Source organism: Homo sapiens, chromosome 15 (assembly GCF_000001405.40).
Source record: "Homo sapiens chromosome 15, GRCh38.p14 Primary Assembly".
Classification (NCBI taxonomy): Eukaryota; Metazoa; Chordata; class Mammalia; order Primates; family Hominidae; genus Homo; species Homo sapiens.
The window spans coordinates 30,400,562-30,428,195 of record NC_000015.10 but is presented as its reverse complement, the minus strand read 5'-3'; the positions used below and the strand labels follow the sequence as shown (position 1 = coordinate 30,428,195).

The following is a 27,634-nucleotide window of genomic DNA, read 5'->3' as shown; positions in this document are numbered from 1 at the left end:
CCAACGATGTGTTCTTTTATCGGTAGTCAGTAATGGATTTCTTGTGGGAAAGTAGCAGCCTCCTATGGGGGGAACACCCGCAGGTCCCACTAAGTGAACACTGGTGTCTGCTAACCTTTGCCTCTATTTGTCGCAATAATATACTGTCAAGCTGTTCCTTGAGTTAGCAATTTTATTTACATTCTTTTTTTTTTCCTTTCCCTTTTCCTGCCACAGAGTCCCGCTCTGTCGCCCAGTCTGGAGTGCAGCAGCGCCATCATAGCTCACTGCCACCTAGAAGCCGGGGTGAAGCAATCCTCCTCCATCAGCCTTCAGAGTAGCTGGGACTACCTGCGCGGCCCACCACACCCGGCTAATCTTTGTGGTTTTTGTTTTGTTTTCCGTTCTGGGTTTCCGTCGGGCGCAGTGGCTCAGGCCTGCAATCCCAGCACTTTGGAAGGCAGAGGTGGGCGGATCACCCGAGGTCGGAGACCAGCCTGACCAACATGAAGAAATCCCGTCTCTACTAAAAAAAAGAAAAAAACTACAAAATTAGCCGGATATGGTGGCTCATGCCTGTAATCCCAGCTACTAGGGAGGCCCAGGCAGGAGAATCACCTAAATCCGGGAGGCCGAGGTTGCGGTGGGCAAAGATCACACCATTGCACTCCAGCCTGGACAACAAGGGTGAAACTCCATCTCAAAACAGAGACCGGGTTTCACCATGTTGCCCAGGCGGTCTGGAACTCCTAGGCTCAAGCGATCTGCCACACTCGGCCTTCCAAAGTCCTGGGATCACAAGGGGGAGGCACCACGCCAGGCCGATCTATTCCTTTCTGGTTACTAAATTGGACCGGGGGCGCGGTGGCTCACGCCTGCAATCCCAGCACCCAGGGAGGCGGAGGCGGGCGTATCACTCGAGGTCAGGAGCTCGAGATCAGCCCGACCAACACGGAGAAACCCCGTCTGTACCAAAAAAATAAAACCAAAATTAGCTGGCATGGTGGCTCATGCCTGCAATCCCAGACACTCAGGAGGCTGAGGCAGGAGAACCACCTAAACCCGGGAGGTGGAGGCCGCGGTGAGTCGAGACCACGCCACTGCACTCCAGCCTGCAAAACGAGCGAAACTCCACTCAAAAAAAAAAAAAAAAAGACAGTGTTTCACCACGTTGCCCAGGCCGGTCTGGAAGTCCTAGGCTCAATCGATCGCCGCGCTCGGCCGTCCACAGTACTGGGATCACAAGCATGAGCTACCACGCCAGGCCGATCTATTCCTTTCTGGTTACTAAATTGGACCGGGGGCGCGGTGGCTCACGCCTGCAATCCCAGCACCCAGGGAGGCGGAGGCGGGCGGATCACCCGAGGTCAGGAGCTTGAGATCAGCCCGGCCAACACGGAGAAACCCCGTCTGTACAAAAAAAAAACCACCAAAATTAGCTGGCATGGTGGCTCATGCCTGCAATCCCAGCCACTCAGGAGGCTTAGGCAGGAGAACCACCTAACCGGGAGGTGGAGGCCGCGGTGAGTCGAGACCGGAAAACACTCTAGCCTGGAAAACAAGAGCGAAACTCCGCTCAAAAAAAAAAAAAAAAAAAAAAAAAAGACCGTGTTTCACCATGTCGTCCAGGCTGGTCTGGAACTCCTAGAACCTGTAGATGTTACCTCATTTGGAAAAAGCATATTTTCAGGTATGATTAAGTTAAGGATCTTGAGGAGAGATTATCCTGGATTGTCTCCGTGGGCATTAAATCCTGGCACATATATCCTTATAAGAGGGAGATAAAGGAGATTTAACTTCAGACAGAAGAGAAGGAGGCCCTGTGACCAAGAAGGCAGAGCCTGGAGTGGTGGAGCTGCAAGCCAATGAATGCCAGCAGCCATCAGAAGCTGCGCAAGTCAAAGGATGGATTTTCCCCTCAGCCTCTGAGAGCACTGGCTCTGCTGAGACCTAGATTTCAGCCCAGTGATACTGATTTTGGACTTCTGATATCCAAAACTGTGAGAAAATAAATTTCTGTTGTTTTAAGTCACCACATTTTTGGTAATTTGCTCTAACAGCCACAGGAAAGTAACATACATGCCTACCTGGGTCCAGTTGTGTCCTGTGACTCCTGCTTTCCTGGGACAGGCAGGCTGCTCCGTGCCTCCTGGCCATCCTACTGGGTGCTGGACGCTGTAGGCTGCTCCATGCCTGTTGGCCATTCCCTTTGGTGCTGGACAGCACTCACATTGTGAAATCCACTGGCCCTGTGAAAAACACCTGGAAATGTTACCAGGAGAGGGGTTAGTTCTCTTTTTGGCAACCCATGTTATTGCTTATGGCTTAATATCTGTGCCTCCAAGATCCCTTCTCTCTGCCTTCATCGATGCCAGGAAAGCAGTCACCTTTTGCCTTTCTTTGCTTCTCAGCAAGTGGCATGTCTCCATGTCACTTTAAGCATCAAGCACACGGAGCCCAATAAGATGCTGAAAAGTGTCTGCCTACAAGGTTACAAGGCGGTGGAGACATTCTGAGCCGGTAACTGCAGGGCTCAGTAAAACCGCTACAGGAAATCTCAAGTTCAAAATGCTGAAGTGAAAAATGGGTGATCACAACGAAGGGAAACACAAACCCCTTCTTTTAAAAACATTATGGTGATAAGGCACAACATAAAATTTACCATATTAGCCACTTGTAAGTATACAGTGCAGTAGTGTTAAAAATATACGTTGAGTAACGAGTTTCTAGAACTTGCTTCTCTTGGAGAACTGAAACTATAGCCACTATACAACAACTCCCCATTTCTCTATCCCCTGGCTTATGGAAACAACCGCTCTATTTTCTGTTTCTATGAGTTTGACTAATTTCGAACCTAATGTAAGAGAAATTGTACAGCATTTGTCTTTGTGTGATGGGCTGATTTCAATTAGTGTAATGTTTTCAAGGTTCATCTATATTGCAGCATGTGACAGGGCTTCTTTCTTTTTTAAGGCTGATAATTTTATAGTATTCCGTTGCATGGATAGACCACATTTATTTATTCATTTATTTATTTATTTATTTACTTATTTATTTATTGAGACAATCTCACTCTGTTGCCCAGGCTGGAGTGCGGTGGCATGATCATGGCTCACTGCAGTCTGAATCTCACATTCTCAAGCGATCCTGCCGCCTCAGCCTCCTGAGTAGCTGGGACTACAGGCACATGACACCATGCCTGGATATTCGTCTTTCTGTGTAACTGGTTGAGAAACAGGGGAGTAACAGTGAAGAAACGGTCTTAGAATAAATCTGGTGACAGCAGAAGAGAATATGAGACAGATTGTGCTCACAGAGCCTTGAAGAGTGTGACAGTATTTGAGGGCCACGCTGTTGTCTTAGAGTGAAGTGAGGAGAACCTGCACTGGTTTGGTAGTCATGGGAATGGAAGGAGGAAAGAAATGTGAAAGCTCATCGGTGGCAGAGTCAAAATGGCTTGGTCTTTGTAGTCAACGATTAAGTGAGAAGGAGGAATTACTGGCTGACTTAGAAGAAGTAAAAAACGTGAAATACCGATAAAACACAAATCTCGTGATTTTAGTCAGCGTAAAGACTAAGCATTGTGTGATTCTAGATATATTATTAAGCAGTTTTGTTCCAGTATTTTATATCCCATATCTTCTAGCTATGACCCTATTTCTTTGTTTCTTGACATAGACAAACATTTTTTAAACTAAGAGCTTTATTGTGATACAGTTTTTGTATGATAAGCCTCACCCTTCAAGTGTACAGTTCAGTGGTTTTTAGTATATTCAGAGTTATGCAGCCATTACCACTCCCTAATTTCAGAACATTTTCATCTCCCCAAAAAGAACCCCGTACCCACTAGCAGTCACTCCCTGTAGCTCTCTCCCCCACCATTGATCCTGGCAACCTCTGATCTAACTTCTATCTCTGTAGATTTGCCTATCCTGGGCATTTCATATAAATAGAATCATACAACAGTGGCATTTTGTGACTGATTTTTCTTTACAGTGATTATAAATCAAATGCCTGAAGACACTAAGCTTAGGATAGTGTTTGCTGTACAACTTTGATAACTGAACTTTTGTAAAGCTGAAAATGTGACTGTGTCTGTATATGTGGCATATTATCCTTAGATGATCCTTACTTCGATTATTAAGAATTTTTTCCCCTAGTAATCTTCAACTGTCTCAATATTCAGCAGGAACCCCTTGGAGACAAAGATCAGTACGAATTTGGAACACCTATTGACAAAATGAATGTAATTTAATTTAGTACAGTAGTAAAGTCAACCACTTTTAGGTGTTGATGCTGCTGAAAGTGTATATTAAGGAAAAGCTTACTTACCTTACTTTTTGTGGAGGTGCTAGAACTACTTCTGTCTTGTGTTTAGATTTCAAGAAACCTTTGCATGGGCATTATGTGGTTGCACAAATGTACTTCGTTTTGACCTGAAAATGCAAAAACTTCCTTTCTTCCCACTTTCTGAGACTCTGCAACCTTAAAGGAAGAGTGGGGTTCTTTAAAGGAAAGGTGGTGGTGGTTGGGTCATGGGTAACAATGTCTACTGTGTACTTCCTTTCCCAAAACAAGTCCCTGTCTACCGTCAGCATTTCCAAAATTTGAAGGTCAAGTGTGGTGTTAACTCATGAACTAATGACTAGACTTTGAGCGGTTGTGGAAGCAAAATCTCAGTGAGTGCCTGGATGTTCTAATTCTGTTAAGTCAGTGAGTGCATATTCTGTACAATACTCTCTTAGCCCAGTGGCAGGTTTAAGGAGTGGGAGAGAGATTTCTATGTTTCGGAAATCAGATACACAAAGAATAAAAATTTTTAATCCCATGAATCTTTGCCCGAGTTTAATTTCTTGGAGAGTTTTTCTTTTAGATTTTCTTTCCCTTCCATTAAACTTTTACTTAGAAAGGTCCCAGGGTTTGGGCAAAGCAAGTGGGAAAGACACTTGCTTGGGTTCTCCAGGATAAGGGATTGAAGAGGACTTCTTTCCCTCATTTTATTATTGAATAATGTCACAATAACAATTATTAAGGTGAATAGTCTACAGTGGAAGTGTTTAGATGCCTTGTCTGCAAAATAATTTGGTTTAGTCAACCCAAGGATGCCTTTGGTTAGCTGGAATGGGAGATGTGCAGGTTAGAGTGGTCTTGGCAAGTCTTCCAGGGGGAAATACAGCATTTGGAAGGGTAGGAAGCAGAAGGAATCTCAGGCAAGGGAAAGGCGTGGGCAGAGCCCCGGAGGACAGAACAGGTTGTGGTGGACTTGGTGTCCACATAGACCTAATTAGTGGTCTTAGCTTTTGTGTTTTCAAAATTACCACAGTTTGTGTTCTAAAACTGTCATTCTCTTGATTTTATTTTAGATATACTATCTGTGTATTTTGAAATTTAAAATAACAGTAAAGGAGAAACGAATTTATTTTGTTTGAGAAAGAGTTAAAAGGTTAAAACATCTTGATCTTAATAATTTTCTAATGGGAGATTTGGTACACCCCCAGAAGTTGTCTTTGGTTCAGAGAATAGTCTTCAGATCTAGAAAGGACTTGAGAAGTCCCAGAGAGGTGCTGCATGGTCTGAACCATTTGATTCTCACGACAGAATGGATAAAAACAATTTGAACCAGGAAACCATGCAGATGTTCATATTTTGGATAGGGTAAGGTCAGTGCCGTCGTCAGAGGAAAAACTCTCGGCCATCACAGGATGGGAGAGAAAGTTTGAGTTGTGAAGAATACTCAAATGCCGTTTAAGGAAATGGGTTCTTCTGCACCTATTCTTTGGAATATTTAGGGCTAAGTTCTTAGTTTTTGACATCATAAAAATGTCAAAGTATTCTGTTCTAAGAGCCATTTCAAACAACTGACTAGAATTTCAGAGCAATTACATGAGAGTAATACCATTAAAATGTTTAAATTACCCATAGTCCTATATCCCTAACAAGTATGTTCACGCTTGCATGTTCTCTTCTCATCTTTACTGTGTGCATACTTTCTTAGTAATGGCACGTAGACATTGTTTAAGCAGGAATAATTCTCGAGATAATTTTGTATGTTTCCTTTTTTCTTTTTAAGGTAGGTATTGGGTGGAGGAGCATTATATTTGCAACTTCTCGCAAAACACGTGATTATTTTCTTATAATATTCAATTTTCACCCTCAATAGAGTGTTTTGATTATGTAAGTTAGACAGAAAGTAGAAGGTTCTCTTAGAGAAATTTTAGTGTTTTTTTTTCATAGCTCCTACTTTCAAGAATGAAAAAGGTAAACCAGTAAAATGACACTGTACTTGGTGCTGCATCTATGCTGGGATAGGCATTAAGAGTGACCTTTATTTAAGGTTCTAATTTGCTCATGTTGGGCACTTAGAACGTCAGTTTGTTGCTTTTTGTGAGATTTTGGAAATGGTCCAATTTTACTTTTTCCCCTTGACTCCAGACTTTTTAACACTGATCTGCTGCTGTTGAGGCATATGCCGTTTTGTTAGGCCTCCTCAAGTGGGAGTCAGGAATGCTGCTGTGTTCCAGAGAGGTTTTGTTCTTCCTGTAGGGCTGAAGCAGTGCCTACTCAATAAAACCAGTCATCGTGCAAAGAAATGCCACCTGACCCAAAGGCAAAGCCAGAGTGCAGCTTGGAGCAAAGAAGGTATTTTATTAAGAATTTTACATAAACCATAAGATATATTTTATATTACTTTGCGAGCCTTCTTCCTGTCTTGACTTAATTCTTTTTGAGAGAATTCATTTCATTTTCATTTGGTTGGTTTTCTTCTTGTTACAAAGATGATCTATAGAAAATATAGAAGTATAAGAAAATTAAAGATACTAACTGATAATTGCTTAATGATTTAGTATCTGCTTGTTTAGTCTTTGTTATATTTACAGTAGGCAAACATGTCTACCGTTGTGAATTTATTACTGGTATGTATACCCTAGTAAGTTAAAAGTTGTACGTACTTTGAAGTTTTGCAAAATTGAGTTCATATTATAGAATTAATTCCTGATGAAATTTTATGTGCTAGGCACTGGTCTTTTTATTTAATTATTTATTTTTACTTTTTTTTCCTCTGTGCCTATGCTTACCAAGTCTTTTTATTTTTTACTTTTTATTAACTCTTTTAATCCTCTGGATAAATTAAAAAGAGGGTATTATTAATATCTGCATTTTGTAGATGAGGTAACTGAAGGTAGGTAACTTGTCCAAGGTCACAGGTGGCAGAGCAAGGATTAAAACTAGACAGTCTGGCTGCCCAAGGCCCAAAGAAGAGGAGCTGAGAGCAAGCCACTGGGCAGAAGGATGTTGGTCAGGCTGGTTTCCTGTTCAGTTAACAGGAAACGCAGGCTTAACCTTAATTCTAGGACGTTACCGAGAAAGCCTTCCAAAGCCATAGGTTTTTTACCATGACCATGACTTCTTTTTTTTTTTTTTGAGACAGAGTCTCACTGTGTAGCCCAGGCTGGAGTGCAGTGGCGCGATCTCGGTTCACTGCAGCCTACCTCTCTTGACAGTCCTCTGGTTAAAGTGATTCTCCTGCCTCAGCCTCCCGAGTAGCTGAAATTACAGGCGCCGGCCACCACGCCTGGCTAGCTTTTGTGTTTTTAGTAGAGACAGGGTTTCACCGTGTTGGCCAGGCTGGTCTTGAACTCATGACCTCAAATGACCCACCTCTGCCTCCCAAAGTGCTGGGATTCCAGGCGTGAGCCACCGTGCCAGGACCCAAGGCCCTTAAGTTTTAACTTCTCATTCTTCAGTCAGGTTTTCCTTGTTCCTGCGTGTTCAGCCATTTGTTTTTAAGTTTGTGTTGAAGGAGAAACTAACAATGAAAATGGACTTGTTGACGGAAGAAAAGTAGGAATGCAGCCTCTGGTGCTGTTTGAGTGATCCCTCTGCCCCAGGCCTGGCTGCGCGCTGCTGTGTTCTGGAAAGGCGCATTGTGCCCTCGCTGTGGCAGGTAAGAGTCCTGTACAGGTGCTCTGCCCACTTTACCTTTCAGGCTTCTGTATCAGCTGTTTTTCCCTTGTAGAATGTGCCCCTGACCTGTGCCCCTGACTTCCACCCCTTAACCCTGCCCAATACATCTTTACATGTCTGACCATCAAGACTCTTCTGGGTCATATTCAGTTCATGCTGATATTTTCCCTTCCTCCCCTCTTTAGTCCTTACTATTTTTGCTTTGGTCATGTTATGCTATATTCTGTAAGCCTTTAAAAATTTTGTTGTATCATGGCAGGGGAGAATATTTTATAATTATGCTTTGTGCGTTTTATCTTCCACTCAATGAATGCTTGGTAAATATTTGTTTTATTGAGTATATGACCCTTTTCTAGCTATACCGTGAACAAAAATGTTAACTGCCTTGTACGTTAACTGCTAAGAATTTGTCAAAAGTGCAGAGATGACATCCAGAACTTGTCAGAATATTACAAAAAGGTCTCTAAGGGCATGATGGAGGTCTGTAAATTGACTTCATGTGAAAGAGTGTAAGAAGTGAAAATGTGAAGCATGACTGGAGAGCCGGAGTGATAAAGCAAGGGTCCCTTTCTCCAGATCCTTTGTAACAGTGTCATGTGACCTCTTCTAGATCATTCTGAAAGACAATGCCAGCTCGGAACCTAGGAAAGCATCCAGTGGGTTTCTGCATGTTAGGTGGTTCAAATCCTCATTAGCACCTTTGTTTTCTCTGCCTCAGTTTGCTTACAGTGATGTTCTCAGTAGCTGTAATTGCTGTCTGTCTTTGAATATTTAAGCATTTTTTTTTTTAGATCACAGGGTATATGTGCATTTTTATTTTACCAAGTGTTAGAATTTTTACTCTGCCTTTGTGGGCTCTGGGTTAGCTACTTGGCTGTTTCATCGTAAAATGATTAGCAGGAAAAACTGTGTGTGTGTGTGTGTGTGTGTGTGTGTGTGCGCGTGTGTATTTTAAGTTTCTTAATTGGGTTGGTACATGTAAACCATTTAGAACAGTGCCTGCTGCATATCACATCCCCATCAGTATTCACGTCTCTCATATTCTACCCTCACACTTGATTGATAGTTTGCTTGATTACGTATTTCTAGGTTGAGGATAATTTTACCTTAGAATTTCAAAGTCTGTGCTGTTGTCTTCTAACCAGTCGTGGTGGCGAAGCCTCATGCCATCCTGAGTTTCACTTGTTTATGCATGACTTTCTCCCTGGAAGCTTTTAGGAGTTTGTCTTTTCCTTGGTGAGCTGAAATAGCACAACAGTGTACTTAGTGTGGGTCTTTTTTCATTCATTATGCTGGGTACACCAAATGAACAGGCCTATGGATAGGCTCTTTCAAAGTTGGAGTCTTGAATCTTGTCATATTTTTGTTGTTAACTTTCTCTTTTCCATTTTATTTGTTCATTTGGAAGTGTCTGTTAATTGGATTTTAGACCTCTTGTCTTGAGTCTTATATCTCACGTTATTTCTAAATGTTTTTTAAATTTTCAGTTCTGGAATATTTTCTTATCTTTCGACTTTCAGGAAATTTTATTTGGACTGTCATAACTTTAAGTTTTGTTTTGGTTATTTATTGTTGCTTAACCAATTATCCCAAAACCTAATGGCCTAAAACTACACATCTGTCTATCTGTCACGGCTGTATGGATTACCTGGGGCTAGCTGGACAGTTTTTCTGCTGGTCTCATTTGGCAGCTCTCACTGTGTGGTTAAACAGTGTCAGGGACTGGTCATCTGGATGCTCAGCTGCAGTGGAATGTCTGAGACGGCTTCTTTACCCACAGGTCTGCTGCCTTGGTGATTCTTGATGTGGCCTTTCTCTCTGCATAGCATCTCATCCTCTCGGATCTCTTCATGTGGCTTTTCTTTCTCCAAGAAGGTAGCCAATTCTTATTTTTGGCTTCCAGAAGCACAGAAATGGAGCTGCCAGGAGTTCTTAAGGCTTAGACCTGGAACAGGTCCAGTGTCATTTCTACCACATGCTATAGGTTAAAGTGAGTGTTGGGGCCAACCCAGATTGACTATGGGATGGGCCTGTCTGAGGACATGATGACAGGAGGTATGGCTCATTGGAGACCAACTCCCAAGATGGAGCATGAGTTCTAAGAACTTTTTCTTCTCTGATTATTTCTTATTCATATTGTTTTGTTTTATACATGTAATATATTCACAAGTGTCTTTATGAAGTGATTTTGATACTCTTTGTCTTCTCCCTGGCATCTCCTTGTTCTTTAATAATTTTTTTCTTAGTTTATTTTGGTCTTATTTTTCTTTTTAAAGCCTTTCCTTAAATATCTATTCTATGTTGCTTATCATTTGTAGTCTTTTTTTTTTTTTTTTTTTTTGAGACCCAGTTTCGCTCTTGTTGCCTAGGCTGGAGTACAATGATGTGATCTTGGCTCACCACAACCTCTGCCTCCAAGGTTCAAGCAGTTCTCCTGCCTCAGCCTCCCAAGTAGCTGGGATTACAGGCATGTGCTACCACGCCCAGCTAATTTGTGTATTTTTAGTAGAGATGGGATTTCTCCATGTTGGTCAGTCTGGTCTGGAACTCCCAACCTCAGGTGATCCACCCACCTCGGCCTCCCAAAGTGCGGGATTACAGACATGAGCCACCGTGCCTGACCTGTAGTCTTTTTTCCATTCCTTTATTTGTTCATTCATATTTGAGAGAGGTACTAAAAGACTGGGAGCCGAGGTGTGGTGGCTCACACCTATAATCTCAGTGCTTTGGGAGACCGAAGTGGGAGGATCACTTGAGCCCAGGAGCTCAAGACTAGTTTGGGCAACATAGTGAGACCCCATCTTTACAAAAAAAAAAAATAGCTAGGTGTGGTGACACCCATCTGCAGTCCCAGCTACTTGGGAGGCTGAGGCAGGAGGATTGCTTGAGCCCAGGAGGTTGAGGCTGCAGTGAGCTCTGATCATGCCACTGCATTCCTGCATTCCAACCTGGGCGAAAGAGCAAGACCCTGTCTCAAAATAAATAAATAAATAAATAAAAATAAAAATAAATAAAAATTGATTGGGAGTTCTTTGTGGCCAAGACTTGTCAACTGATAGCTTTAAGGGGAATGTATGCTGATTCCTAATTGTTATCCTCCATCCCTCTATCTTATCTCCTGTTGCAATCATAAATGATGGCTGGATGACTACTCCATTCCTCTGGATGTAAAATCTACATTCTCTTGCCTGAGGTGGATACGTTTGCTTGGGTTCTGTTTAAGGAGATGGGGCCAGCAGTGTGTTTCAGGGCCTGTGAAATGTGTTCTCTATCCGGGCTTTTGCTTAATCTCTGTTTTCAGTCTTGCCTATCAGTCCCACTGTCGGGGGTACCTCGTGTCTGAGTCTAGAACCTTTCCAGGTTGCTGTGGGACAGATTAGCCTCCTTGTTCTCAGTATCCCCCTGACCTCCACCTTTGTTGCTTTGCTCCATGAATTAACCATTTTCCATGTACTGTCATTGTCTAATGAAGATGAATTCTCTTCTGTTGGTAACCCCATTCCTTTTTTGTAATGGTGTGCTTATACAATGTTTATTCTTCACTGTATTTCTATTGGAGCCTCAGGACAAAGAGCAGATGGTGAGAATCTGTGTTCAGTGTTAAGTTTTCCTTCTGTAAGACATGTGCAACTTGTGTTTTTCACTGAATAGATCATGGACTTAATGCATATAGAGCTACTTTGTTTTTCATGATTGTGCCTTCAATTATATGTAGAAATATAATTTGTGAATTGCCTGATGAAATTTTCCTAATTTTGAATTATCTTTGCATTCCTATAATAAACACTGTTAGAATGGCTATGGTAATATTTTATTTTTGCATTTTTACTTCTGTATTAAATAAGATTATAGTTTTGTTTGTTTCCTTTAAGGCTGTTATTTCAGTATCAAGGGTATGCAGGGCTGAGTTGGGAAGCTTTACATCTTTTTTCTAAGATCTAGGATGTAGATCTGGTTTACACAGTAATTTTCAACTGCAGGAGTATTTTGCCTCCTATGGGACGTTTGGAAATATCTGGAGACATTTTTGTGGTCACAACTGGTCATGGTCGGGAGGTCTCATTGGCATTCTGTGGGTAGAGGGAATGTTACTAAATGCCCGACAACACACCAAGAGAACCCTCCACAAAGAATTATCTGGCCCAATATATCAATATTGCTGAGGATGACAAATTCTGGTTTAAATATCCAATTTGGAGGATGAGTCTTTGTCTTTTTCCTTCTTCTGCATATTGGTCTCCAGATTTCCCACTTCTTCAGTTACTTTTCGTAACTGTAGGTTCTTAAAAAAAAATGAACACTTTGGATGGGTGCGATGGCTCATGTCTGTAATCCCAGCACTTTGGGAGGCCGAGGCAGGTGGATCACGAGGTCAGGAGATAGAGACCATCCTGGCTAACATGGTGAAACCCTGTCTCTACTAAGCCAAAATACAAAAAATTAGCCAGGCGTGGTGGCGGGCGCTTGTAGTCCCAGCTACTCAGGAGGTTGAGGCAGGAGAATGTTGTGAACCCGGGAGGCGGAGCTTGCAGTGAGCCAAGATCACGCCACTGCACTCCAGCGTGGGTGACAGAGCGAGACTCCGTCTCAAAAAAAAAAAAAAAAAATGAACATGTCATCCATACTTCTAAGGTGTTGTAAAGATGTGTAAAGTTTTCACTTTTTGCATCATATTCACATGTGGCTATATGCCCTTTTCTCTTCAAAGTTTTCTTTATCTTGATTACTTATCAGAGGCTTGACTGTTTTATTATCTCAGTCTTTTGAAAGAATCCTCCTTTAGTTTTATTTTTTAAATCTAGTGGTTTTTCTTTTTCCTTAGGTCTTAATTATTTCCCCCTTTTTGTTTGTTTTGCTTTTCCTAGTTTAGTGGATCAATGTAATTTAAATTGCTTTTTAAACAAACGTGTAAGGGTATACATTTTCGTTGGCTGCTGTTTGACTTCGTTGCACAAGTTTTAAAATCTATTTTTTAATAGTTTGTATTTTCTAAATTATTTTATTGCATCTTTTGTTCACATTGCTCTTACTATTAATTTTTTATTTTAATTAATTAATTAATTAATTAATTAATTGAGATGGAGTCTTGCTCTGTAGCCCAGGCTGGAGTGCAGTGGCATGATCTTGGCTCACTGCAAGCTCCACCTCGGGGGTTCATGTCATTCTCCTGCCTCAGCCTCCCAAGTAGCTGAGACTACAGCTGCCTGCCACCACATCCGGCCTTTTTTGTATTTTTAGTAGAGATGGGGTTTCACCGTGTTAGCCAGGATGGTCTCGATCTCCTGACCTCATGATCCACCCACCTTGGGCTCTCAAAGTCCTGGAATTACAGGCATGAGCCACTGCACCCAGCCCAAAAGCTTTGTGCTTTTACAGATATTAGACATGTTTCTTGTTTAAGAAAAAAAATCTTAACGAAAACGTAGGAGAATAAGAGAAACATTTTTCCAAAAAAGAGAAATCATTGTGATTATTTTATCTTATTAGAATGTTGGATAATATAGTCTGCTTCATTAATCATCAAGCATGCTATGCATTTTCCATTTTTATAGGATCTGTATCTCAGTTAAGGTAATACTGGTAATTTTTGTACTGTAATCAAAGATGAAAAATATAGGCCAAAATCATAGACCTTGCATAGAAGCTGGATAATGAAGACAGCTATGGAGAAAAACATAGATACACACACATGGACACACATATATATAAAGTATACACACATATATTTTTTAAAGTTTTAAAGCTTTTAAAGCAAAAGCCAGCCCCTCTTCTCTTCCAGAGTGGGAGGCCTCTCCCCTCTCTTAGAGTGGGTGGGGAGAGCGGTTGCCATGGGCAGCTTTCCTTGTGAGCCACAGGGCCCTCTGGACACGCTGCTGTCTGGCCACGCCCCCTTTCCCTTTCATCTTTCTCATTGACCAATGGGCTTGGAGCATTAAGGCCACGCCCCTATTCCGCATTCTACTGGGTCCCTGGTTACGCCTCCTCTGGCTCAGTCACACAGCTGCCTGGTAGGTGACTGGAGGCCTTGATCGGTTCTTATTGGGATTTTGCTGCTGTGGCCCCAACCCTTCCTCCCTCCCCACCCTGCAATGGCAGAAGAAACTCAACACAACAAATTGGCTGCAGCCAAGAAAAAGGTAAAAACGCACTAGGTCATAGCCCCTCAACCCAGCCACAGATCCCCTCTGATGACAAGACCCCTGCCAGAGTCTATATGACTCCTGAGGCACACTGGACTGGTCCCCCCAACCCCGGTGCCTTGGGCTACCCCCACCAAAGTTTTGTCAGTCAGCCCCACCCCTTCAGCAAGCAGCCCAGTCCTTGCCCTCGCCAATCACCCCAGGGTGACTTTGGGTGGGTGACTCCTGGGGCTTCCCGCTCCATTACTGGGCCCTCATCTCCTGCCGCCCCAAGCTTGATCTCCGTGGGCTCTTTGGGCTCTCATCTCCAAGGAGCCAGGCCCCACCCTCGCCAGTCATCCTTGGGTGACTTTGGGCTGGTGACTCCTGGGACTCCCTGCTGCAGACTGTGCCCTCCCCTCCTGCTGCCTCAAGGTCGACCTCCCTGGGTTCTTTGTGCTGGCGTCTCCAAGGAGCTGGGTCCCAACCCTGTGCTTCCCTCCCCCATCGTGGAGCAGCGACTTGGACATGGTGCTGACATGGTCCCTCCCCCCGACCAGGAGGAGTGGAATGTTGTGATGTCACAGTCCACCTAGTAACTGCCGTTACTGCAAGACTGGCCTTTGACCTTACGACCCAGTCCCCTAAGCGTTCTCACCCCGTTTCTGGTTCCTCTGGTCACAGCACAAATTTCCAGCTGGAAGGGGAATGGAGACTATGGGACCTAGGAGCAAGAGGTTCCAGGCTGCCTCACTCCCTTACAGATGTTGACGGTGGGAAAAGCCTACACTTCCCCCATGAACTCAAAACATTGACAGTATCTCTGGGTGGCAATGAGAGAATGGGTTTGATTTGGTTTTCTCCCAGGCTTCTACTTTCCAGAGAGATTTTAACAATTTTTTCTGAGTTCTCCACCTCATATTCTAATTCTCCATGGTTCTGGGACCAGACTCTCCTTCAGTCAGTGGTCTCTGAAGTGAGATTTGCTCATCTTCTGTGGAATAGATCTTGGGAAACTGAACTTGACACCTTGAATCTTCCTCATATTATCTCAACCTTGGGTACTTTGAGTGCCACAGGATAAATGTGGGACATCTTTCTGAAGCATCAGTTTCCCTTGATTCTCTTGAGATCAAGAGAAAAAACATGAATGTACTTAGGGAGGACAGTCACATAGGTTTCTAAGAGTATACCAGACCTCTCTCTGAAATGAGGCTTGGGTTGTCCTCTTTCTGATAAATTCTGATTTAAGAGAAAGGCTGCCTTCTGCCATGAGGACACATTGATATAAAAGTTTGAGAGGTACTGGTGCACTTCTTCACACTAACAGACGTGTGAGGATGTATGACTAAACCACATGGCATACATTTCCTGCCTACTTAATGTTTACTTTTCTACCTCTGCCTCTGGTTTTGGTCCCTGGCAGCTGCTGATTCTTGGCAAAACCTCAGAGCTTGGAGTCAGAAGACTGAGTCTCAAAGTTCCAGTATTGCCTTTTTCTTTTTTTTTTCTAGCCATGATATCAATCCTTCTCAGTCACTAAATGAGTGTGACAACACCTTGTACAGTTGTTGGTGTCATTAAATCAGATGGTGTGTAAGTGTATTTTGTAAAAACTGTAAAGGAGGTTGTGGCTGTAGGGGCTGACGGTTCTCATGAATATTACTGCTCTTCTTTCCAACAGTTAAAAGAATATTGGCAGAAAAACAGACCTAGAGTTCCAGCAGGAGTGAACAGGAACAGGAAAACAAATGGCAGTATCCCTGAGACAGCCACTTCCGGTGGTTGCCAGCCACCTGGGGATGTGAGTCTTGGCTGACCAGGCTTCTGGGGACAGGGGGCCCAAGGGGCAATAGAGGGTAATTCTTAAGATTGTGGATGGACTGCTGGGTACTGGTTAAGAATTCTGGCTTTAGCCGGGTGTGGTGGCCCACGCCTGTAATCCTAGCACATTGGGAGGCCAAGACAGGCGGATCATGAGGTCAGGAGATCGAGACCATCCTGGTTAACACGGTGAAACCCTGTCTCTACTAAAAATACAAAAACATTAGCCACGCGTGGTGGCGTGTGCCTGTAGTCCCAGCTACTCAGAAGGCTGAGGCAAGAGAATGGTGTGAACCTGGGAGGTGGAGCTTGCAGTGGCCAAGATTATGCCACCGCACTCCAGCCTGGTGACAGAGCAAGACTCTGTCTCAAAAAAAAAAAAAGGAATTCTGGGTTTGAATCCTGCCTCTCCATCTGCTCTGCTAGGGATATGATTTAGGGCAAGTTGCTAGACCTCATTGGGCCTCTCTTTTCACATCTGTATAATAGAGGTGTTATTGTTTCACTTCCATTTGTGAAGTTTAAATGAGATTTGTTATTGTTGTTTTTATGTTAATCCCTAGTACATGGCCTGCTGTAAACACTCAGGACACCCAGGATATGGTTTGATTTTCCTCATCCCCAGTCTCAAGGGGAAACCAGGACAAAGAGAACAGCCACTTGCCATCAGGAGTCACTGAAGGGGCCCCAGGATGGGATGGTGGGGAGATAAGAACCATGAGAGAAGTTGGCACAAAGGAGTTATGGGACAAAAGGTCCAAGATAGGCAGAAAAGAAAATGTTGCAGTTGATGGGGAAGAAAGGAAGTCAGAGGGCTCAGACACTGTGGGGGACAGAACATCTCCATGTGCACTCTCATCTCTTGTAGTCAGCAACAGGTTTCCACAGGGAAGGCCCTACATCATCTGCTACCCTGAAAGATCTGGAGGTAAGAGGCTCTGGGTGGAGGTGCAGTGACCCTTCGGGTCAACCCTCCAACCTCCTCCTCCAGGTGGGACTGGGTGCCCCTCTGCCAGCTGAGACAGCCCACACACCCCAGCCCTAACGATCGTTCTCTCTACCTCTCTCCCCACTCCTGCTCCACCTCCTCCTCTCTGCATGCACCTCAGAGCCCGTGCCAAGAACGAGCAGTAGTCCTGGATTCAACGTCCGTAAAAATCAGTCGACTGAAGAACACCATCAAATCTTTGGTAAGAGTCCGGTGGGGTCCCCTGATTCCACGCTGCCAATCCTGGGCTCCAGTTTCCCCTTGGGGCCCTGAAGAAAGGGGCTGGGGGTCCCTGGTGCCCGGGACAAATAGGGAGCTTGGGTGCCCAGGCCTCACCTGGAGGGACCCCAGAGCATGCAGCATGGCTCTTCTTTTGCTGCCCTCTTTGCCGACTCTCTCCTCTCCAGACACCCCTGCTCGAGTCCTTGCTACACACGCCCTGGGGTTGTTGCCTCTTGGGGAAGTGCTAGCCTGACTGGTTGTCAAGGGCCCCGTATTTCTGCCATGACTCAGTCCCTAATTTGCTCTTTGATTCTGGACAAGCCACCTCTCCTTTTTGGGCTCGTGTTTCCAGAGGAGGTAGTGAGTATCAAAGGTCTCTGTTAGCTCTCGAGTCTGAGATTTAAAGGCCCCCGGGAATGGAAACCTCAGGGCTAAGGGCTCCTGTCTGTCCTTTTCCATCCTATATCTGCTGTGAAGAACCGTACCTGGCCCATACGTGCTCAGTAAGTGTTTATTGAATGAACCCACTTTTCTAAATCACAAGCTGCCAGAAGGAGGGGCCTTTCTGAAACTCCATCTCTAGAGGTTTATGTTGCTGTCCTCTCAAGAGATTCCAGATTCAGACTGAGTTCTGTGGCTGTGGGCAAAAGCCAACAAAGACCCAAATCCTCTGTCCTTGGGAGCTTGAGGAGAGTTTACCGGTTCGTGTTCCCATTATGTCTGAGAACTTTGCCTTTAAAATCCATTCCTGGCCCCTGCCTACCGCTTCCTGATCTGGGGAATAGAGTTGAGGGGGCCACCCTCCATCACCTTATTTGACTCTCCCCACAGAAACAACAGAAGAAACAAGTGGAACATCAGCTGGAAGAAGTAACGTGATTTCGTTTCCTCGCGACATGACTGCTGGGTTTGGGGGGCACTCAGACATAGAGGCCCCAGTCTCGTCTCACCCACTCCCAGCCTGGGGAAGAAGGCTCACCCCTCAGATTCCACCCCATCCCCACAGGGCCCCTGATAACCTGGTCCCATGGGTGGGCCTGTCCTGGGGCATTGGTGGCATTCTGGGGGCATGTCTCTTGCTGTGCCATCTCTGCCTCCCCCTGGTAAGAGCTCTGTCTTCCTCTTCCTACAGGAAAAGAAAGCAAACAACGAGAGACAGAAAGCCGAAAGGGTGCTAGAGGTGAGTGGAGGGTGTGCAGTTTCCTCCTGTCCTCCGGAGAATGTTTCTTTCCTTCTCTTTCAGCACTTGCTTGGCTTTTCTCCCAAAGGTTCAAATCCAGACATTGATCATACAGAAAGAGGAACTAAATACGGACCTGTACCACATGGAACGTTCTCTCAGATACTTTGAAGGTGGGAATCTGGGCACCCTGTCATCCTTCAACCTGGCACTTTGACAGGTCTTCAGGGGGAGTCCTTTGGGCCCCATCTCAACTCTCTCATTACAGAAGAGTCCAAGGACCTGGCTGTCCGCCTGCAACATTCATTGCAGTGTAAAGGAGAGTTAGAGAGGGCTCTGTCTGCTGTCATCGCCACAGAGAAGAAGAAGGCAAACCAGGTGAGTCCAGCCACCTGCCCCATCCCCTGGGAGCCTGGTTTTGCAGATGGAAGAGTGAGCCTAAAGGTCCCTTCTGCAGGATGGCGTGTCCTGCCCAGAAGGCAGCATGGCCATTTCTTGCTACTTTTTTGTATGGTTTTTAGTGGCAGCCTGGGGCCGAGTCAGCTGCTGTGGGTGAGTTGGGGGGTACTGTGGGGAGTGAGCACTGGAGGCAGAGCTTGGAGGCCAAGTGCCTGCCCCGCCCTTACCTGGCTGTGGTCTTGGGCAAGTCCTAGGTGGGGTATTGGGTACTTGTACTGTGAAGGTACAGAAGAGTACCTTTAGTATGTTACCATTTCTGTAGAAAGAGGAAACGCGTGCATGTGTGTGTGTGTGTGTGTGTGTGTGTGTGTACATACTGTGATAATATACATAAAACATGTCTGCAAGGGTTCATAAAAAATTCAGGAGAGAGAACAAGATGGCTGGGAGATACTTCCCTTCTGTACCTTCTGAGTTTTGGACTATGTGAATGTATCATCCTGTCAAAAAGTGAACAAAAGATTAATTTTCCCCTTCCTATCTGTGCCCCCATCCCCAGCAAGAAAAACGGGCTTAGAGAATTGGATAGACCTGGGTGTTTATATCCCAGCTCTGCCTAAGTGAACTTAGGCAAGCACTTAACCTCAAATACTCCATGTTTTTTCATCTCCACAATAGAGGGAATCATAGTAACTGTCTCCTATGGTGGTTGCGAGGATTAAATGGGATTGTTAGCACGGTACCTGGTGAAGCATTCCACAAAGGTTCAAACAGTGGTAATAATGACAATAATAACAATAGCAATATTATCTGATCTCTCTGGGCCTCTGTTAGCCAGCTATAAACTCAGTCTCATTCCCTGTCCGTTCCAACTTTACTGTGTTCTTTTAAAAACCAGACCACGGGCTGGGAAATGCCTTGATCTTTACTGACCGAGTTGTATATTGGGCCTAGCCCTAGCCCTGTTAAGGGGCACTGTGTGGAAATGCCCAGGCTCTCCAGATTGAAACTTCTCACTCTTCACCATCCAGTTGTCCAGCTGCAGCAAAGCACATACAGAGTGGGAGTTAGAGCAGTCCCTACAGGACCAGGCACTGCTGAAAGCGCAGCTGACACAGGTGAGGTTTTCCGAGGGAGGGATGTGGAAGGACGATGACCCCAGGTGGCCAGGAGCAGGTGAGGACCAGTGACAGCCCTTCCTAACTTCTGTGCCCATTCTTGCAGTTGAAGGAGTCATTTCAACAACTCCAATTAGAAAGAGATGAGTGTGCTGAACATATAGAAGGAGAGAGGGCCCGGTGGCATCAGAGGATGAGTAAAATGTCGCAGGAGGTGAGATCTGACCCTTCAGCCCCCCCACATTAGATAGGTCACTGGATCTTTCTGGGCATCTGTAAAATGGGAATAGTAGAGCCAGAGGTGGTCATGGGTCTGGGCTTTGTGGGGGTGGGGGCAGAGAAGGAGAGGGCAGCCTGTCCAGCCACCAGCCCCTCTCTCCAGGGCCCTTTCCCCCTGTGCTTTGGGCAGATTTGCACATTAAAGAAAGAGAAGCAGGATATGCGTTGGGTAGAGCAGCTGGAGTGGAGCTTGTCCAAACTCAAAAACCAGACGGGTAAGATGGGGCTGGCATGACCTGGGAGCAGGACTGGCATCAGAGGGCTGTGAGGGTGGCTTAGAGTGCCCCAGGGAGGTGGGTGGATGGAAGGGCTTTGAGGCAGAGGGAAAGAGATCTGTGCCAGGAGACCGCAAGTCTTGTCATCTCAGTGAGTCTCAGTGTCTCAGTGTCCCCATCAGCAAAGAGGGCCCGTTGTCAGCCACCCGCAGTGCTCTTTCTCTGAAAGTGCTTTGGAAGACTGGCTACCATCTGGGTGCGAGGAATCATTAGCAGTGAGGCCAAGTTTGAGGAGCCTGAGAGGAGCTGTGCGCCAAGAGGAGGGTTTTTCTTTTCCGAGAATCCAGAGGCCCTTATTATCTGCTTCCTTTCTCAGCTGAACCCTTGCCCCCGGAGCCCCCAGCAGTGCCCTCTGAGGTGGAGCTGCAGCACCTGAGGAAGGAACTAGAGAGAGTGGCAGGAGAGCTCCAGTCCCAGGTCAAAAACAATCAGCACATAAGTCTCCTGAACCGGCGACAAGAAGAGAGGATTCGGGAACAGGAAGAGAGGCTTCGGAAGCAGGAGGAGAGGCTTCAGGAGCAGCACGAGAAGCTTCGGCAGCTGGCCAAGCCACAGAGCGTCTTCGAGGAGCTGGTGCGTTGCCCCAACTGGGGAGCCTGCCCTCCTCCCTAGCCCTCCGGGCCTTTGTTTCCCCACCTCTAAAATGGGGCAGTGTAGCCCTCGCGTGAAAGGTTACTTCTAAAGGCACCTGTGAGCCAGGTGGCTGTGGGAGAGAGGGGGTGATTTTTCTAACCTGCCTCCAGCCTTCCCAGTGCCATGGGAGGCAGACACCAAGTTCTGGGGTCTCCAGCTGCAGTGGGTGGCTGCTGATTGCTTCTCTCTGTCCAGAACAATGAGAACAAGAGCACACTGCAGTTGGAGCAGCAAGTAAAGGAGCTACAGGAGAAGCTTGGCGAGGTGAAGGAGACGGAAACCTCCACCCCATCCAAGAAGGGCTGGGAGGCGGGCAGCAGCCTCTTGGGAGGGGAGGTGCCAGGTCAGAGGCAGCTTCCAGCCTGGGGGCTGGTGACCACAGCACCCCGCAGGGCAGTCCTGCGACTGTTTCTCACTTCCTGCCTCTGACTTTTAAAGGTGGGTAGCCCTGGGCTCCTCTCAGGTCTGGACATCATCATCCCAGCTAGAGGCATGGAGCCCCCAATCACAGGGGAAGAGACAGTGCTATAACAGGCTCCTTATACCAGGTGCAGTGGCTCATGCCTATAATCCCAGCACTTTGGGAGGCTGAGGCAGAAGAATCACTTGAGGTCGGGAGTTTGAGATCAACCTGGCCAATGTGGTAAAACCTCATCTCTACTAAAATTAAAAAAAAAAAAAATTAGCAGGGCATTGTGGCGCATGCCTGTAATTCCACCTACTCGGGAGGCTGAGGCACGAGAATTGCTTCAACCCAGGAGGTGGAGGTTGCAGTGAGCTGAGATTGCACCACTGCACTCCAGCCTGGGCCACAGAGTGACACTCTTGTCTGAAAACAAAACAAAAAGACTCCTTAGATTGAAACTGGATTCCAGCCTCGGTTCCACTGGTCACCATTCAAGTACTTTGCATCTCTAAGTCTCTGTTTCTTTAACTTCAAAGGGAAGTTAGCATTTTCCTTACAGAGGTGCTGAGGATTAAATGAGAAGAGGGTATGAGATTTGAGGCTGGGGAAGGAGGCATGGGGTTCTAGGAAAGGGAGGCAGTCACTTAGGCCTGGAGTAAGGGGACAGGGGCCTGGGTAGCTGACAGAGCCCCACAGTGCCCTCGCTACCCTATTAATGGGCCCAGAATCTGGAAACCAGCCACCACGTGCCCTCACACCCAGGGTCTTCCTGCAGGTGGAGCTGAAGAGCCAAGAGGTTCAGAGTCTGCAGCAGCAGCCAGACCATTACCTGGGTCACCTGCAGCAGTACGTGGCCACCTATCAGCAGCAGGTGGCCGCCTATCAGCAGCTGACCTGTGAGAAGGAGGCGCTGTACAGGCAGTGACTGCAACAGACCCAGCTAATGAACCAGCTGCAGCAGTAGGAAGCTTGGGGCAAAGCAGTGGCCGAGATGGCCTGCCAAAAGTTGCAGGAGACCCAGGGGAGGGAGCTGCCGAGGATGGGGCTGTGAGGGGGACGACCTGGCAAACTCCATCCCTTCTCACTCTTTCCTGGCCCCTTAGGAGCACCTGGAAGTGGCCAGCCAGCAGAACCAGCAGCTAACGGCCCAGCTGAGCCTCATGGCTCTCCCTGGGGAAGGTACGGGAGACCGCTCAGAGGAAGAGGAGAGAGCCCCAGGAGGAAGGGGGGACTGCTAGCAGCATAGGATTGAGGAGTTGGAAGAGACCTTTAGAGCAGCTGGTCATTATGCCGACCGGGTGCCTGCACTAAGTTCGGCATCAGTGTGGTGACCTCCTGTGAGCGGGCGGTCACCAAGTTGCCTAAGGGTGGCTGAACTGGCCAAGGTCAGAAAGGGAGCAGGTCAGAACTCCCACATCGACCAGTAGTGGGAGTGTGCCTGGGCGGAATAGCAAGATCTTGATTCTTAAAAGTAAAAATAAAGAACAACAGCTCATTCCTCTCTGGGGAGGGGCTGGCTCAGGGTTACACAGTGAGGGTGGAGGTAGAGGTGGGCCCACAGTACCTCCCTTGTTGGGTTGTCTGAAGACCCCTCTGGCCACCCCCCACAGGACACGGAGGAGAACATCTGGACAGTGAGGGGGAGGAGGCACCTCAGCCCATGCCGAGTGTCCCAGAGGACCCGGAGAGCAGGGAGGCCATGGTGAGCCTGACTCCCCCTGCACCCATTTTGCCACCTTTCTCTGTGGTCCCTCCAAGACCCCTTTATGCTCTTCGTTTCCCTGCCTTCTGATTTCTCTGGACCCTCACCCCTTCCGAGAGCCAGTGGTCAGACACCATTTCACCTGTGGCCAACAGGTGCACTCTCTGAGGCCCCAAGGGAAGGGGCTGTGCTCCACCTCTCTGCCCCATTTCTTCTGTGTATGCCCCTAGAAGAATGCTCACATCTTGCCCTCAGGTGGCATTTTTCAAGTCCGCTGGAGCTAGTGCCCAGGAGAAGCAGGCACAGTTACAAGAGCAGGTGAAAGAGCAGAGGGTGTGCTGCCAGCGCCTGGCTCACCCGGTGGCCTCGGCCCAGAAGGAGCCAGAGGCAGCCAGAGGCCCTGGAGCCCCAGGGCCTGGGGGCGAGTCTGTGAGTGGGGAGACCCACCGGGCCCTGCAGGAAGTCACGGAGAAGCTGGCCCATGCCAGGACTCACCTCCGCCTTCTCCATGACTTGAAAATGCCACCTGAGGGCAGGTCGCTGCCGAGATGTGACTGCAATATTTTGGCTCCAGAGCAGCTTTATGGACCACCTGAAGGAGAAGGCAGACCTGAGTGAGCTGCTGAAAAAACAAGAACTTCGCTTCATTCAATACTGGCAAGAGAGATGCCATCAGTGAGTGGGAGGCCAGGGCACGGCAGGGGGAGCTACAGGGCCATCAGAGGGGCCCCAGCGTCTGAGCCCTGTCCTCCCGCAGGAAAATCCATCACCTTTTATCAGAACCAGGGGGCCGTGCCAAAGATGCAGCACTGGGAGGAGGACACCATCAGGCTGGAGCTCAGGGAGGAGATGAAGGTAGGGTGTGCAACATCTCTGTGGGGGTGGGGGTGGGGGTGGGTGTGAGGGTGGGCGCAGGCAGCGGCATGGCAGCTGAGCACCCCTCCCTCCAGGTGAAGCTGCTGGAGCTGCAGCAGATGGTATTGCGGCTTACAGCAACTACAACAATGGGCACAGAAAATTCCTGGCCGCTGCCCACAACTCTGCTGATGAGCCCGGTCCAGGAGCCCCAGCCCCCCAGGAGCTTGGGGCTGCAGACAAGCATGGTGGTGAGTAGAGCCCTCAGGTGGGGTGGGTAGGCAGGAAGAGGGGGGCTCCCACTGTGCTCAGATCCCCGCCTCCCTCTCTCCAAAGATCTTCGTGAGGTGACCCTCACCTCCTCTGCCCAAGGAGAGGCCAGGGAGGATCCTCTCCTTGACAAGCCTACTGCACAGCCGATCGTGCAGGACCACCAGGAGCACCCAGGCTTGGGCAGCAACTGCTGTGTGCCATTATTTTGTTGGGCTTGGCTGCCAAGAAGAAGGAGATAAACATCACCATCATCAAACAGCTGCTCAAGAAATTTTTAAATAAGAAACCAAGTTATGGGGTTAATCTCCTACACAATTCATTTACTTCCTTTGAATGTTAGACTCACTCATGATTATTTGTGTTTCTAATTTATAGTTTAAGTTTATTTGTAAAAAGTTAAAAGAGAGTGGGTGTCTGTGGCTCTCACTGATGTTCACTCTGGCATCCTTTAGCATTTTTCTTTTTTAATTTCATAATTGTAGGTCATTAGCGTGCATATCGAGTTTGCCCTTACGTGGTGGGAGTTCAAACACACAAAGACCCACTCTTTGCCCAAAACTGTTCTCTTTGGTTTGGAATAGGCTGCCATGCTTTTTTAATGTTATTGCAGCATGTATATTCACTACAGCATTCAGACAAAATTTGCCTATGTTCTGCTGTTGTTTGATGTAATCTTAATCACAGTGAGCTCTTCCTTAGCTCAATATGTAGTTTGCCCCCAAGTGTGCACTGTTTATTACTTTGTAATACGCCACTATGAGTACTGACATTTAGAGTTGTTTAAAGGCCAAGAATTGGAAACAGCCTTTCCTCCATTTTCTGTGTATTGGTGATGGGAGTGATAACCTTTTGGGGGAGCTTTTTAAATCTCACAGAAGAGGAAAGTGGCCTCCTCTGGCAGGTACGTGCAGGATAGAGTGTGTTTCATCTGTTCCGGTGCCAGGAATTAGCAGTGTATTATGGTGGTTCCCTTAGGATTTGTATGTGCTCTGGGCTCATGAAGATACTGCATCATGAGCTGCAGCAGTTGCACTCTTTTTCGATGACCTAAAAAGGGCTTATTTCTGAGGAATGAAAGGTTCCCATCGTTGACTGTGGATGTGGAAAACCTTTCCTAGCTTAGAGCATTTGTATCTACAATACATTTTAAAGTCAGAGTTCATGTTACCTGTTTTAATCACATGACTACATGCCCCAGTACACAAAAGGGCACTGGTTGGCATTCTTCTTAATGTATTTAGTGAAGATCATAAGAAATCCTTTACGAGTTCAAATGTCCCTGGAACAGGCATACAGGCTCTAGTCAAGAATGAATTAGAGTGAAGGAAAGCTGTGTGACTCCTGGCATTCCTCTCTGTTCACGGAGATTCTTTGAGGCTTGAAGATTGATTTTACCATCTAGACCTCTTTGGCTAATACCTATTCTTCAACCACCTTGGTTACTCTGACATAGGAATTTACTTCTTTTTCTTTGAATGGAAAACACTTTAAAAAAATAGAAACATTCTTATAAACTAATATATGTGAGATAGTTGAAACAAAAAGGAGTTTTAGTAGATGGTATTATACTATCTTTGAAAATCAAGGAGAAGTTTATGAAACTTAAAATGTGTACAAACTGCAGTGCAATCTACTGTTGTTCGTGAATGTCAATGTATTATCAGGAAACGTGTCTATACAACCACAGAGTTATATTTTCTCACAAACTTCTTTACAAAGTGAAATATGTTTTTGTACCTCTGGGTTTCTGTTCGGGACATATTTTGTGCAATATTTATGTGATTGTGCCTATGCATGATGAATGAATGCATTTCAGTTATGTATTGCCTAAATCGTAACTTGATGATGCTTGGGAAAGACTCAACAGTTAAAACTTCATGAAGTTCTAATGTCTGTGTTCCAAAACACATCACATTGTTAGGATGCAGGGAGATAGGTGTGTGTGCTCCCTGCGGTGGGGATTTCTAGTTACTAGATCATCTCCATTTTTAGCATTTGGCATCCTCATGATACTTCTATAAATATGACATTAACAGGAGAGCAACAATACGATTTTACCGATGGAATAACAGATTTGCTGGCATTCACTGAAAGAGTGCAAATATTCGGTCCTTGTGACTTCCACTGACTCTTCCAAATTTTATGAATGTATCAATGTATTAGATAAACCCAGTTTCAGAATGATAAAGAAAAAATCTTAGACCAAATAATGCGGCTAATTAACAGTGGTACGATTTGTAGCCCGTGGGTTTAAAATGCACTTAAAGTCCTGTTCTCGCCTTTTATTTTCTGAACTTGCCGCTTTTGCATTCTTTGAGTTCAGTTTAAAGACAGTTACTTTAAGAGCATTTTAAACCCTCGGGCTAGAAATCGGACCACTGTTAATCAGCCACATTATTTGGTCTAACGTTTTTTCTTTTATCATTCTGAAACTGGGTTTATCTAATACATTGATAAATTATTGCAAAGGTACTTTTATCGTTGAAATCACTTCACTTTTACCCTGATAAATATCAGTGACTAGGAATGACCTTCGGATAGCGTTTAGCATCTGTAACCAATCTGACAATAATGTGTTCATGAGGTGCCTATGGATTAAATCACACACTGGCATATTTAAGCTGAAGGTCAGTCTGGAAAATAAATTTACTATATTGACTGAAATACCACTCTTTGTGTAGGTATTTGTCATATATTTAAGAAAAAGCTAAAAAGAATGGAAATTGTATGACAATAACTCAAGTCTTTCTCCAAAGTGCATGCAGTCTTTTGTGATACCTCATTCAGCCGAGTATTTGTGCTCTTCCTCATTCAGTATAAGGCAGCTTTCAGTTTGCTTAGAAGGCAACATTGGAATGTTAGAGTTCATCAGAAACATAGAATTTTAAACTGTGAGTTCCACTGAATACATTTTGATTTCTGTAGGAAGAATCAAAATACCTATTTAAAGATGGCAATGTATAATAATCATTTTAAAAGTATTTGATTAAACCTGATAATTTTCCAGAAATGAAAAAAAAAATCAGCTCTAAAACCAAAGCTGATTTTAGAAAATTTGAAAATGTAAATCAGCCCTATCCATAATATAGTTTCTCTAAAACTTTATTTTAAAGAGTCATTTTAAAATAACTATTAAAAAATGTAACTGCTATCTTAATGTTCTGAAATAATTTAAAACATTTTAAAATATGAATACTGTAGTATAAAAGAAAGAAATGGTGGGAACGAAAAGCAGAGAAAGAAATGCCAATTCCAGTCCAAAGTTTTATTTGCCAAGTTTTCTTAGAATGAATTTTACCAGTTTATGAATTATTGTAAAGAGAATGTGTCGTGGAAATACTGAAAGATTTTTCCCTAGAGTGGCCTTATTGACTGCTGGTGTGATGCCACTGTAATGTAATAAATTATTAAGTTGTT

General features: G+C 45.5%; 1 protein-coding gene, 2 long non-coding RNA genes and 2 pseudogenes across 6 annotated transcripts in view, besides 1 other annotated feature; 4 read left to right on the top strand and 1 right to left on the bottom strand.

The window, feature by feature from the left end:
• The window catches only part of LOC105376704 (uncharacterized), a 51,865-nt gene extending 42,814 nt beyond the window's left edge, over nucleotides 1–9,051 (top strand). The window contains exons 3-4 of the long non-coding RNA XR_932048.3: nucleotides 217–6,618; nucleotides 7,725–9,051. This is a non-coding gene — a long non-coding RNA (uncharacterized LOC105376704). The remainder of the gene's footprint in view (nucleotides 1–216; nucleotides 6,619–7,724) is intronic.
• LOC101927788 (uncharacterized) lies at nucleotides 2,159–24,391 on the bottom strand. 4 transcript variants are annotated; one of them, XR_243135.5, is made up of 5 exons: nucleotides 24,303–24,391; nucleotides 23,585–23,681; nucleotides 21,082–21,168; nucleotides 9,051–9,185; nucleotides 6,607–6,760 (listed from the first exon to the last, which is right to left on the bottom strand). It is a non-coding gene; the product is annotated as an uncharacterized LOC101927788 (long non-coding RNA). The 4 variants fall into 4 exon arrangements; XR_007064551.1 differs by lacking the exon at nucleotides 21,082–21,168 and having other exon boundaries at nucleotides 6,609–6,760; XR_007064552.1 differs by lacking the exons at nucleotides 6,607–6,760; nucleotides 9,051–9,185; nucleotides 21,082–21,168 and adding an exon at nucleotides 2,159–2,241.
• Nucleotides 4,304–16,238: a non allelic homologous recombination region, noted in NCBI's record as "15q13.2 beta inversion proximal recombination region, recombines with the 15q13.2 beta inversion distal recombination region". NCBI's record gives the evidence for it as "EXISTENCE:nucleotide sequencing assay evidence [ECO:0000219][PMID:25326701]".
• On the top strand, nucleotides 13,936–27,634 carry GOLGA8R (golgin A8 family member R). Its single transcript, NM_001282484.1, has 19 exons — nucleotides 13,936–14,081; nucleotides 15,748–15,867; nucleotides 16,756–16,815; nucleotides 16,997–17,077; nucleotides 17,929–17,967; nucleotides 18,230–18,277; nucleotides 18,366–18,450; nucleotides 18,546–18,655; nucleotides 19,708–19,794; nucleotides 19,901–20,008; nucleotides 20,204–20,288; nucleotides 20,665–20,921; nucleotides 21,177–21,245; nucleotides 22,491–22,566; nucleotides 22,998–23,089; nucleotides 23,664–23,764; nucleotides 23,847–23,944; nucleotides 24,040–24,195; nucleotides 24,281–27,634. The coding sequence occupies exons 1-19, from the start codon at nucleotides 14,034–14,036 to the stop codon at nucleotides 24,454–24,456; spliced, it is 1,896 nt and encodes a 631-aa protein (NP_001269413.1). The 5' UTR covers nucleotides 13,936–14,033; the 3' UTR covers nucleotides 24,457–27,634.
• Nucleotides 14,133–14,656, top strand: LOC100288482 (uncharacterized; annotated as a pseudogene).
• RN7SL196P (RNA, 7SL, cytoplasmic 196, pseudogene) lies at nucleotides 22,599–22,889 on the top strand (annotated as a pseudogene).